Raw genomic sequence first — 13260 nt, 5'->3', positions numbered from 1 at the left:
TGGCCAGAAGCCTGTGTGATAATAAGCCCTGATCTCCCATAGGTCAGAGTACGATACCAGACCATTCAGAGCATACAGGGCAAGTCAAATGCCCTGTGAGCTTCTGTGACTACAGGAAAGAACAGTCATTTTGAACCTTTTGGGTTTCTGCCAGGGGAACTTTATTCAGTCCCCAACGTGAGCACCTTCTTTGTGCCAGGCACTGTCAGACACCGGGGACACAGAATGAATATGACCCAGTCTCTGCCCTGAGGAGTTCACAGCATAGCAGGGCAATGCAGATACATAAATAGCCACCTGTGATGAGTGCTAAAAAAAGGGACAGGAGGAGAGCACACACAGAGGAAGGAGAGAATGGAGAGGGGTACATATTCAGGAATTATTTCTGATTAAGATGAATGGGATTTGGGATTTAACTAGGTGGGGTGGGAGAGAGAAATGATCCTAAAGTTTCTGGCTCTCAGGTCAGCTCAGACCATTATAGAGAAAGACTAGTTCTAAGAGGCTATGTCTGAGCTCATGTGCTCAAAAGCCCCAAGTGACAAGTTTCAAACCACCATTAGCGCCATCTGTTGGCCACAGTAGGAGGTGACATACACTGGGCTGGCATTTGGCTTTATGGAAATGAGCTGTGAAAGTTACCAAGTAGAGGACACCTGTATATGATAACATCCTTAACCTAGAGGCATAAGAAAGGATAGTGGTTTGCAAGCTTGTCTAAGCCAACTTATTTTGTTGTTGTTGTTCTGTTTTGTTTTGTTTTAGGCTTTTAGCGGCCTGTAGCCATTGTTTTTAGTTTCTGTCTGTAGAGATAAACAGAAAAGAGGGGTGAGGAAGGGACTTCACTGACCCAACCAGAAAGGGAAACTAAGAACTCACGACTGTATTCTCTCCCTTGGACACTTTACTAAACTATACAGGCTCTGGGGTCAGACTGCATTGGGGTATAAACTAATAGTACATGACATTGGTCTTTTATCTTGTCTAAGACTCGGATTTTATTAAAATGAAAAACGACAATAAAACTGTAACTATGTCACAGAACCATTTTGAAAATTAGAATATATGCTACATGGACAAGAACTCTCATATACTGGTAGTGCGAATATAAACTGAGAGTACAATTTTTGAACATATGTATGTTCTATGACCTAGCAGTTTCACTCTTAAGATTATACGCAATAGAAACGTGTATTATGGGTGCTGAATGGTACATATATATATATATATGAAAATTTCCTAATAGTCCTGCTTGTGATAATAATAAACTAAAAATAAGCAACATTTCCAGCAACAGAAAAATAGATACATAAATTGTAGTTATTCATACAATGGGACACTACACAGTAATGGGCATGAGCAATCAACAACTACACATAAAAAGATAGACAAATCTTACAGACATAAAATTGAGCAAAGAGGCCAGATACCAAATACTACATATTGTATGACTCCATTTAAATAACACACAGACACAGGCTAAACTAATAAATGTTAAAAAGTCTGGATGACTGGCCAGGCACGGTGGCTCATGCCTGTAATCCCAGCACTTTGGGAGGCTGAGGCGGGTGGATCACCTGAGGTCAGGAGTTTGAGACCAGTCTAATCAACATGATGAAACCCTGTCTCTACTAAAAATACAAAAAATTAGCTGGGCGTGATGGCGGGCACCTGTAATCCCAGCTATTTGGGAGGCTGAGGCATGAGAATTGCTCGAACCTGGGAGGCGGAGGTTGCAGTGAGCCGAGAACATGCCATTGCACTCCAGCCTGGGCAGTAAGAGCAAAACTCCATCTTGAAAAAAAAAGTCCGGATGATTATCACTGGGTAGAGGGTTAGTAACCAGGAAGGGAGCATTAAAGCATTAAAGAAGCCCCTAAAATGCTGGCAATGTTATTTTCTGATGTGGATGCTGCTTACCTGAACGTATTTACTTGGTAAATTTTTTTTGATTTTTTAAAGTTGAAAATAATTTTCAATCTTTTAAAAGTGCTCTTCTACTTTCAAAAGCTCTCAGCACTGAACCTGCTTGATAACAAGTGTTCAGTATATATTAGGTATTGAAATGTCATGAGAATGAAGAAGAGGATGATGAAGAGTCAAATAGAGGAGTAATTCAGAGGGAGAGCTGGTGAGTATTACTTCTGCTACATTCAGAGACATTCTTCAGTTCAGTAGACAGTCTTGGAATCCACAACAAAGTACAAGATTGCTAAGGAGAGCTTCTAAGTATGAAACCTGGGAAAACACAAGATAGGCAGAGAAGGAATAATGTGGGAGAGAGACTTAACAGAAGGTAGGAAGAGAAGTAAAATAGGATCATGGTTCAAAAACAAGAGAAAAAGAGCCTCCCATGAAATGTAGTTTGTAGTGTGTGGTGTCAAGAGTTTTCATGCTACACAAAAATTGGGACAGACGAAGACTACATATCGTCCCATGGATTTGTCTGCGACCCCAGCTGGAACAGTTTTAGAAGAGCTGAATTTAGAATGGAACTTGAGGGAGTAAAATAGTGAGTCGTGTGCCACTGTGGGCAATGAAGGGAAGGGAAGAAGCATGACATTATGTCTAGATGAAATAGGTGATGGCAATGTCCTTATTACAATATTTAAGTCCTGAGTATTCTATTAATAATAATTTGAAAGGACAGTGGAGAGGAAGCAATAGAAGATACAGAAAAGACGAGGTAACTGACAGAATAAGGTCCTTGAGGAGGGATGAGGGAAATGATCCTGTTTTGGTGACAGTATGTTTAGGTACTCTTCCAATACACAAACCTGTGTAGGAAATAAAGGGCACTCTAGTCTATCTCTAATATTCTGTGGAAGCTTGTATAAGCCACGTGATATCTCTGGGGCTTTTATCTGTGGAATGGAAGACATTCCAGACTAGATGAATCTTCTCAGATTATTTGTATCTCCAACATTCTTTGATCACTTTGAAAGACAAATCCTAACCAGAAAGGCTTGGGAAGAGTAATATCCAGCTGTAAAATCTTTCACAGTTTTTAAAGTGAAGAATGTGGCTCATTCAATTCAGGGGTCAGTAAACTTTTCCTGTAAAGGGCAAGACAGTAAATATTTTAAGCCTTTCAGGCCATACAGTGTCTGCCACAGCTACTCAACTCTGCTACTGTAGTGCTGAAAGCAGTCATAGACATACATAAATAAAGTAATGTGGCTGTATTCTAATAAGCTTTTACTTACAAAAACAGTCCACAGGCCAGATGTGGCCCATGGGCTGCAGTTTGCTATCTCCTACAACTTTGGAGCTGTAGCCGTTAATATCACCTGTCTCATGTAACTCAGAATAGGACCTCTGATATGTCAGTTAAACCTGCCTCAAATCAGTAAACTGGGGACCACAGAAAACAAGGGCCATTACCTTACTGTGACATCAGGAGGCAAAGCTAATAAAAGTGATACTAAAACAATGAAAACAGGTTTAGGATATCATACAGAATGCCTAGGCCAGCTGTTCTTTCTTTCCAGTGAGTATTAAGTAAGAAAAAATGGGATTAAATTCCACCAAGAGTTAAGGGAAAAAGTAAGGTGAATGCACTGGCTATGAAATACCATACCACACTCTAGCGTAAAGTAGGGAATTTGGCCTCTCTGGGTATCTTGAAGAATGCAATAGATAATTATGTGTTAACAATCATCAAAAATATGTTCTAACAGAAAATGATGGGAAGGGAATGATCGTGAAATTCTCTTTCCTTGACCTATTAAAAGAATCTTTTTTTTTTTTTTTTTTTTTTTTTTTGAGACAGTCTCGCTCTGTCACCCAGGCTGGAGGGCAATGGCACTATCTTGGCTCACTGCAATCTCCGCCTCCCAGGTTCAAGCCATTCTCCTGCCTCAGCCTCCTGAGTAGCTGGGATTACAGGCATGTGCCACCAAGCCCAGCTAATTTTGTATTTTTCATAGAGACGGGGTTTCACCATGTTGGTCTGGCTGGTCTCGAACTCCCGACCTCAGATGATCCACCCGCCTTGGCCTCCCAAAATGCTGGGATTATAGGCAGGAGCCACCACACCCAGCCGAAACTTAAAAGAATCTTAATTGCAGTGAGTCATCATGGACACTTGTTGGTTGCATCCCAAGCATCCATTCAGCTCTTTCTGACATTCCTTGTTTACATTGGAGACTCTGTGTGATTCTGGGAATACTAACTCCATCCCCATCTCCAGGGGTTAGCATGTGTCCTAATCTAAACCAGCCAAGTGGATTGAGCAGAATGAGCCTCAGGTCCTTTCTAGGAATAAGAAACAAGGGCATATCCACCTTTTCACCTTGTCTGGACAGGACCATGTGTGGACAGAAGGCCTCAAATTGCTGCAGCCCTTTGCTACAATGCCGACAGCCAGACTCTCAATGATGCCAAAATACCAGCAAAGGCAGGGCCAAGAGAATCATGAGCAATAAAGTCAGAGTCCTAATGACTCTGGATCAGATACTGCCTGAGCCTGCTCTACCTTTGACCTTCTAAAGTTATGTGAGCTCATATATCCCCCCTCTGTTGCTCAAGCCAGTTTGATTTGGTTTTATTGTTACTTTCAAAAGATTACAACCTAACTCTCGTATATTCCCCCTGGGATGTGTATTTATAGCATGACTTGGGCAAGGACATGAAATGAATGTTTAAAATGGTCCTAATATTTCCATATGCTTCTAAAATATTTTCTCAAACTTTGCATTGTTTTGACAGCACAATAATCAAATGAATTTCTTTATCATCACCATGGTTCCAATCTGTCAGTAATTCATTTCTTCCACAGCTTTCAAAAGCAAAAGACAGACTACCTCAAAGTCCCCCTGCCCTTTTAATCTGATCAAATGTAAATGATCATAATTGAAAGTCCTGTTCTTGTAAGAGAATTCCTTTTTGCAAATCAGTTCTGTCTTTAAGTTTCTAAACTCCCACCTCAGATGGCCACTGAGAGAAAGCTATGGAAATGAAGCCATTGAACACACTATTTCCAGCCCCCAGAGAACCTCATCCAAGGGCAAGAAACAAGACGTTAGGAATCTTGATGTAGTAGGGCCTATATGAAAAGAGATTCCTATCGGAAAAGAAGGAAAGGGACTAAATAATGCTTGGTTATGTTTCATTCATTCTCTCCATTCTATTTTTAGTTTCCTCCAGGAACTAAAGTAATACAGGATATTTTTAGTGTTCAGCATATTAGATACTTTACATCAACATAAAAACAAGAGCACGACAACCTATTGGCCAAGTTGTAACATTTCTCCCTTGTTAGCCGGCAGCAAAACAAAGATAATGTATTAACCAGCCTGTTGAATCCATTCATTTTCTCAAGATATGCTGGCTTCTTAGCTTGGAAAGATGCATGATCGTGAGCATCCATCTTTTAAATGTCATTGAAACAAGGCTACTACTTCAAACACAAAGTTGTCTTTTTTTTTTCTCTCACTATTGCTCGTATTAAGTAAAACTTTCCAAATGGCATGCCCTCCTGCAAACTCAAATATAGATAGAACAGACCTACTACAAAAATATGCATTTCTCTACGTGCCCAGAATATAAAGAGAATCAAATAGGCCAAATGGAAAGCAAACAGAAAAGCCAATGAAAAGCAGACACGGGGACCTTAACGGTACTGCATGGATCTTGCTTATTTAAGTTGTTTTTGATCAGCTTTCTTGGACTTCATGCCTGTGAGAGAACTCAAAACATTGGAAGGTGAAGGTCAATAGTCTGGAAGCCCAAAAAGTTGCCTTGGGAAAAATCCTACTTGTTCTCAGACTCTGGCTGCAGCTTCTGCTTCTCCCTGTCCCGCTCTGCTCCTCCCTTACCCCATCATACTAGCTTCTCCCCCTATCTCTTCCATGAGTAAGCTCATCTACAAATGGCACTATCCTCTGGTGCCCACAGGGCTTGAAATCCCATTAGCACAATTCTTGTATTGCTTTTTCCTTCCTATGGGAACACAGGGGAGTAATGTTATAACCATTATTCTAGGAAAGGAAGACCAAAGGCCAAGGTGCCCTTTCTTCTAAGATATCTGCATGCTTGTTTTTAAAAAGAAGAAACAATATTTGCAAATGCTCTCATGAAAATTATTTGTACAGGAGTCCTGCCTGTTTTATCTTTATTTCTTCCTCTATAAATTAGAGAAGAACATTAATGTTTATATCCCTATCCCCCTAATCCTCCCCAAAAAAACATAAAAGGACTTTGTGGGTTGAAGTCAAAATTGGATTAGGTAGGAGTTAAAATTATTCCCAAGAGCCATACCTCTGACACCGAGAAAATGATAAAAGGTCTAGGCCATCCCTTCTCCTTTGGTGAAGAGAAGATTAGCAAACAGTTAACTACCTAGAGACCTGTGAGACCCTCTTCTGCCCCTGTCTGGCCCCTGTCATTAAAGGAGAACAGGTATTTCAGGTCCTTGGATTCTTGGATTTATTGAAAAGACCCACATTCAGGTAGAAAGCTGAAAGAAGTTGGAAAATTACTCAAATTATTTGTAAGCATTGTCTTTGTTAGTGAATAAGAGACTAGATAGAACTGTTCACGATCCTGAAATTTTCATTTACCCCACAGTTAATAGAAACAACAAATGGTTTGGTTCAGAAAGCAGAGGGACCCCAAATTAGCTTGTAACTCCTCAGCTGAATACCTCTTTGATTAATCACATCACTCACTCCAGCCCTGATAATGGCTGTGTACTTTTCTAAACTCTTCACTAGTCGAGGACACAGAACAAATCCCATTCATCTACTAAAATCTTTGTATGTCTAGTTTTGGGAAACTCTTTAAGTTTCCCAAATTAACTTATATAACTAGTAGGGTCTAATTAACTCTTAGTAGTAATGCTTCCCCACTGTATAACAAAAGAATATGCACTAAAATGACCGGAAATTCAAATCTCCTTACAACCAATAGTTAATTAAAATGATGAAAATTGAGATAAAGATAATATTAGATTCTATTAGCCTTACCTAATGACATGAAGCATCGTCCTATCTTGAAACTCCAAATAAACTAACATTATAACACAGTTGGGCACCTCCAAGCAAACTGTGCTGGTGGCATTGATGAGCATTTGAGAACAGGTAGTGTTCTGTTGTAATTGTGATAGCTACATTCTCAAGGATCAGCAAAGAATCATGGGTACTAAGGCCATAAATTGGGGGCTGAAGGGAGTGAAGTAGTGTTTGATTTGCAGGCAAAATACAGAGTAGAGCCAAACTGAATATTAAGCAAGCTGAATATTAAGCAAGGATGCCAACAGAACTATTTTAGGGGTTCACTGGCCTGCCTAGGGAGCGGAGGAAAGTGGGAAAAGATTTTCCACTACTACGAAAACCATGTCAGTCAAAGAAAAAAAAACCCTAAACATTCTAGATGAATTTGCTAACAAATTGTGACATATTTAAGACAGACTAGCTTCTTGGACAATATTATTTGACCTAAACTTCAAATACCAAGGATGTTGAGTCGAGAAATGAACAAGTAAATCCTTCTTTATCCCCCACCACCCAGAAACAAAGTGACCTTCTATCATCTGCAGTTAAAGAGCCAGGAGATTAAATATCCAATTGTCAAATCCAGTGACTTCTGCTCTGAATTAATTTTTTTAAGTTTCTAAAATAATGAACTCAAAGAGCTTTCACAAACACGCACACAGAAACTATTCAACATTACAGTCTATATTCATATCACTTCTTTTTCCTTAACCCTTTTGATCAGTGAGTACATAGTTTTGCTCAACATTTTCTGTATACTTTTTCTATATAAACATTTCATCTACATATCTGCCATTTTAAATAGTTTTCCATTCTTACAGACATGAATGATGTACACATAGCAACAGTCTCATATACACATATATTTGCACATATAATACATACTTTCTTCCTCTTGTTGTAAGGAATGGAGCAACTCCAAACAGGAAGCTGAAGAAAATGCAAAATGAAGATATTCCTACTTTTGCTAGTCTATATCGCTTTGTCCCCATAAACAAACCACATTAGCAAAGCTGATTTCTTTACTTGTGCTCATGAAAGACAAAAGGTACAAATGCAATCTTTTCCAATCAAAGCTCTATGTTAAAATCTCCAAGGCTATCTTCTAAAGAATATTAACACCTGAGGCCTACCCCTAGAGATTCTGATGTAGTTGTTCCAATGGAAAGGGTCTTAAATTTAGAGGCAGATGGACCTGCATTTGAATCTCTTCTTCATCACTAGGAGTTACATACTCTTGGGCAAGTTACTTAAATTCTCTGAGCCTCAGTTTTCTAATCCATACAATAGGAATATTACTGTGGGGATTAGAGAAAATATATTAAAAATCTCCAGCACACTCCCTGGCACACAATATACCTCCAAAAATGTCAACCCATTAGTAATACTCATTGTTCTTCAGGTTTCCTGATAGTGAAACAGAAACCAGAGTAAAGAGAAGGGTATGCAGTTTTTGAAGATTCTAACATGTTTGAAATGTCATGCCGTTTAGTAACTATGTCCATGAAAAATTGGACAGCATCTGAAATACTGTTGTGACATCTTAAAGAGGTTAACATACTTTAGTGCTATGCAATGATGTATTCTGACTCTGATTTTAGCACACATTTTTCTTATTAAATATCTTTAATTTCTTATTAAATGTCAATCTTAATTTAACAAAAATATATTGACTATCTGGGTTATTACATGACCAGTATTTTCAACAATAACTGGATAATAGAAAGCTCTTTAATGTTTATTTAACAGCAGCGTGCTACTTGTTTGTAAATGAAGCCTGAAATTAGTGGTTTATTGTATAATGGTGTTGCTTCTTGTTTTTATTTTTCTAAGTAGCATAGGAAATTATGCTATATGTGAATCTGAGCAGACATAAGCTGCACACATTACCAAGATGCTATTAAGTTTCCATGGTCTGATAGTCCTCAGTAGCATCTTATCTGCATAGTGTCTTGCTACCAAGTGCCACCAATGCAAAATGTGTGACCACAAAAATCAAATACAAACATGAAGAAAAAAAAAGTACAAATGGGGGAAAATAATGTTTTCATTCCAGTATATTGATCTGAATTAGAAATCGAGTATTTTCTCTAAAGCCATTCAGTATTTCTATAAACAAATTGCTCTAGTTGAATTTCAAAGAAAAAGATGCAAAAAGAAGTATGTTGGATTCATCATGGGTCCTGTCTTCTACAGGACAGCATACTCTTGCCTTTGACAAAAAAGTTGCAGCCTTGTTATTAAAAAATGAAAGCGAAGAATTCATGAGAATAGAAGGTCTTGCTGGTAGTCAGACTCACAGGAAAGAGAGCAAAGGAGAGCAAGGGCAATTATTTTCATTCTCACTCTTCATGTTCCAGATATTGGAAAGAATAAAAGACGTATTGGAAAAAGTGCCTGAAGGAACCACCCCAAATGTTTTAAATTACTATTCTCCAAATTCATTAACGATCAAAAATATGCTATGCTGAACACAGTCTTCTTTAGATTATCAATCAAAAGCACATTTTCTCACAAACGAACAGGGAAAAAAGCCCCAACCCCAGCATCTTTGTTCCTCCTGATTTCTTTTCTCTGGGAAAATATTGCTTTAAATTGCTGTTTGTTCTCATAATGGACTGGAGCCTTTGAGGTCTTTACTGCTTAAAGTGCTCCGAATGTACAGTCAATATACATGTAAAGTTTGCACTGATTATATGCAGCTCAAAGGATTTCAAAACATCTCCCTAGAAGTTTTTCTTTTCTCCTCAGAATTCCCATATGGGTTTCCTGGAGGCTGATTTTCAACAGAGCACAGGAGAGTCTCCTCTTGGAAATGGATTTCCCACAGAAATGGGCTACATCAAAGGAGAGCTTGCTAATGTGAGAGCCATCTCTGATTTCACTGAACCGCCACTCAGAGGAACAAAAACAACCTATTCACACATATTGGAAACGTTATAGTAGGCATTAAGCATGGCTCTAACCCATCCCTCCTATGCTTTTCTTGGCCAGTTCTTCTCGCGGTTCTATTCCTTTCATTTCGCTGTGCTTATTTCAGAGGTCCTTGGCCCTCTCACTTGAAATTTCTTCTAAATTCAATGGAGTCATTTGGTATGTAGCTTTGTTGACCTCTCTTCAGCATTTTATAGAATCAACTCTTAAAAGTGTCTTCACTTTGATTCCATTCCACATCGACCTTTCAGTCTCTTTGAGGATCTCTTTCCTGGACCTTCACATGTGGCTGTTCACATGGGATTTGTTAACAACCCTTTTCTCATCTCACACTGCACACTCATTTCCTCAGGGCAAACGAAATCATTCTTAAGATATTAATTATTACCAGGTGTGGTGGCTCACACCTGTAATCCCAGCACTTTGGGAGGCCCAGGCAGGAGGATTGTTTGAAGCTAGGAGTTGGAGACCAGCCTGGGCAACATAGCAAGACTTCAATTCTACCTAAAAACTAAAAAATAAAAAAAATAAGCCAGGCATGGTAGCACATGCCTATAGTCCCAGCTACTCTGGGAAGCTGAGCAGCTTCCCTAAACCCAAGAGGTTGACACTGCAGTGAGCTATGATCATGTCACTGCACTCCAGCCTTGGCAACAGAGCGAGACTCTGTCTCAAAAAAAAAAAAAAAAAAAAAAAAAGCCTTTAGTTACCATCTATAAGCTAATGACCTCAACCATACATCTAGCTTAAATTTTCGCCATTCAACCTTGATGAGCCAATAGTTAATTTAATTTAAAAAGACAGAGAGAGAGAGAGAGAGAAAATCCCCAATCCCAGATCCCAGACAACTAATATGCGGAATGCCCACAAATAGAAAACACATTACATAATTCAACTGAGTATGTAGCGGGCAGGGAACACTAACTTTTACCTGTCTTGAAAATGTCTTCCTGAAGGAAAAGGTATAATTAGGATAAAAGAGGAATTTTTTTTCAGTTTTTTTAAATTTTCTTTCTTTAAACATGGTATCCAGTTCTGGCTTGCACTTTTATTGCTTATAAGTTTCTGACATTTACAGACACACACAATACACATACACTCTCTCTCTCTTTTCCTCTCTTTCTCTAAAATGTCAGCCATTGCACTTTGTTCTATGGGTCATTTAGTCTTATATGCCTAGAGACACATTCAATATAGGCAGCTCCATTAATTCTAATGGAAGGTCAAGCTTAAGAGTGAAGGAAAAACAGAAAGGATGAAATAACTAGTCTGGATTATGTATTTGTCTACCTTTTCCTTCCAAAATACAATCTCTGCAAGAGTGGAGATTCTTAGGACCTAGAATGGTGGCTGGCACAAAGTAGATGCTCAGTAAAATGTTTGTCAGATCAAAGAATGAATCTTGATGACAAGAGGTCAGGAGTGAGTGGACCCATCTGGGTCTTTTAGGTGTATTGGAAAGGTGATAGAGTGCAATAAGCCAAATGGACCGCAAGATTTTTAAAAATGGAATCCACAGAGAAGTAATGAAAACTCCCCATTAAATCTCTCCCGACAATGGTGCCCACTGCTTCTTAAGGGATATGTGTTATTATGGTCAGTGACACAAATCAAGAGAATGGAAAAAATGGAAGGTTCCAATACCTATGTATTCCAAACCATATTTTTGATTGGGTTATGTCTTCAAGATAGATTTCAGACACATAGCCTGCTATCATGGGATGGCAACCAGTGTGAGCTCAGATATTTAAGGTTTTGCAAACCAGACTATCTTCCTTGGAGAAACATTATGGAGGACCAAGAGTCTACAGGGATGGTGATGAAACCAGGAGTGGTACTGAGATTCAGTGGAACGAGTGCCAGAACAGGAGTAGAGGGTCTGGCTTCTAGTCACAGATAGTCATGCCATGAAGCAAGTTGCTTCATGTGCTCTGTCAGGAACATATTGTGGTGCATGTATAGCTCCCTCAATCTCTGAACTCATCATTTTATTTGACAAATTTTTAAAGGATGGCCACCAGGTGCAAAGCACTGTGGCGAGTGCCATAGGGGACAGAGCAGAGAATCAAGTTTCTGCCCTCAAAAACTGAACTACTGGGTGGTAAGTTGAGATTGCTGGCCTCTATGAGCCTCTGAGTTTTATGTGGGTCAGGGGACCTATGGTGCAATCCTGGATATGAAAACTGTGCCTTTGATATTTCCCTTCATTGGACCCTTTTAAATACTGTATCTATAGTTGCATGTCACAGGAATGCTAGAGACAGTTATTTCATCATTATTTTGTTATATAAAAGCATATATTGGAATTGGCTCAGGGCTTGCTGGTTTTCTGTGACCTCAAGCAACCCAGAAAAATTAATATAATTATGCTATTAAGCACTTCTAAATTTGTCTACACCATTATATGCACTATGCCCAAAGGCAAGTAGTCCAATGAATTATCTGTAGTTTCATAGGAAGGGGGCATAACACCCATGGTTATCATCTCCTTCAATATGAAACTACCCACCAAATAAATCAGGTCACATTTGAAGGAAGGAGTTCTTAGAACATTCCAAATTAATACACGAAAGCTGGAAGAAGGTTAACTAAGAACCATTCTTGAACAAAAAATTGGGTGGGTTGAAAATGACTGGCAAGAGGTTAAATCTAAACTTGCAGAGTGAGTGCAGAGTAGGAAGACAGAGTCAGGAATGAGTAATGGGGAGGGATAATAGGTCAGTACCACGCTGAGATTCACATGGAAGGTGCTGCTCATGGGGAAGAACACAACAAGCCAACCTCATTAGGATGGCTGGTACAATTTGGAACACTCCATTTTGAACATGTCAGAACATGTGAGGCAAAAGAAGGCTAAGTGATAAGAGCTGGCGATGATGCCTGGAGAGAAGTTAAAATATACATATTAACTAAAGAATTGAGAAGAATGTGTAGACAGGACTACCTCTGCAAAGAAAATATCCAAAGCAATAGCCCTTTGGAGATACAGCTACTGAGTATCCCCATCAGAGATAAGATTTATCTTCTAGGGGAAAAAGACACAGTAGTGTTATACTGTGGACGTGGCAAATCTGACTTCAGTGAGAGTGGTGAACTCCTCCTGAAGGAAGGGTTCAGTAAACACAATGCTACAAGGAAGAAATGATGAAGTTTTCTTAGTGGAAGCATACAAAACAAGGTTATGTAAAACCTAAAAAAAAGGGTACAGAAGAAAATCTCACAGTAATCCTCATCTATTATCTTGTTTTGAGGTGAAGAAAGAAGGAAACAAATACATCTGATTCCCAATAACCTTTAAACAGGGAAACCACAGGCTTACATCTTTGCAGTA

The 13260-nt window shown here is 39.0% G+C and overlaps 1 long non-coding RNA gene across 1 annotated transcript in view, besides 1 other annotated feature; it reads right to left on the bottom strand.

Moving 5' to 3' along the window:
• LINC00693 (long intergenic non-protein coding RNA 693) overlaps positions 1 to 13260 on the bottom strand; it is a 183060-nt gene that overhangs the window by 89922 nt on the left and 79878 nt on the right. The gene's annotated exons all lie outside the window — the stretch shown is intronic.
• Positions 485 to 644: a silencer, noted in NCBI's record as "silent region_14157". NCBI's record gives its function as "represses an Ori minimal core promoter by ATAC-STARR-seq in GM12878 lymphoblastoid cells {active_cell/tissue: GM12878}" and the evidence as "EXISTENCE:reporter gene assay evidence [ECO:0000049][PMID:35858748]".

Source organism: Homo sapiens, chromosome 3 (assembly GCF_000001405.40).
Source record: "Homo sapiens chromosome 3, GRCh38.p14 Primary Assembly".
In the NCBI taxonomy this organism is placed as follows: domain Eukaryota; kingdom Metazoa; phylum Chordata; class Mammalia; order Primates; family Hominidae; genus Homo; species Homo sapiens.
Note: the sequence above shows the minus strand (reverse complement) of the source record. Positions and strands in the feature narration are given on the sequence as shown.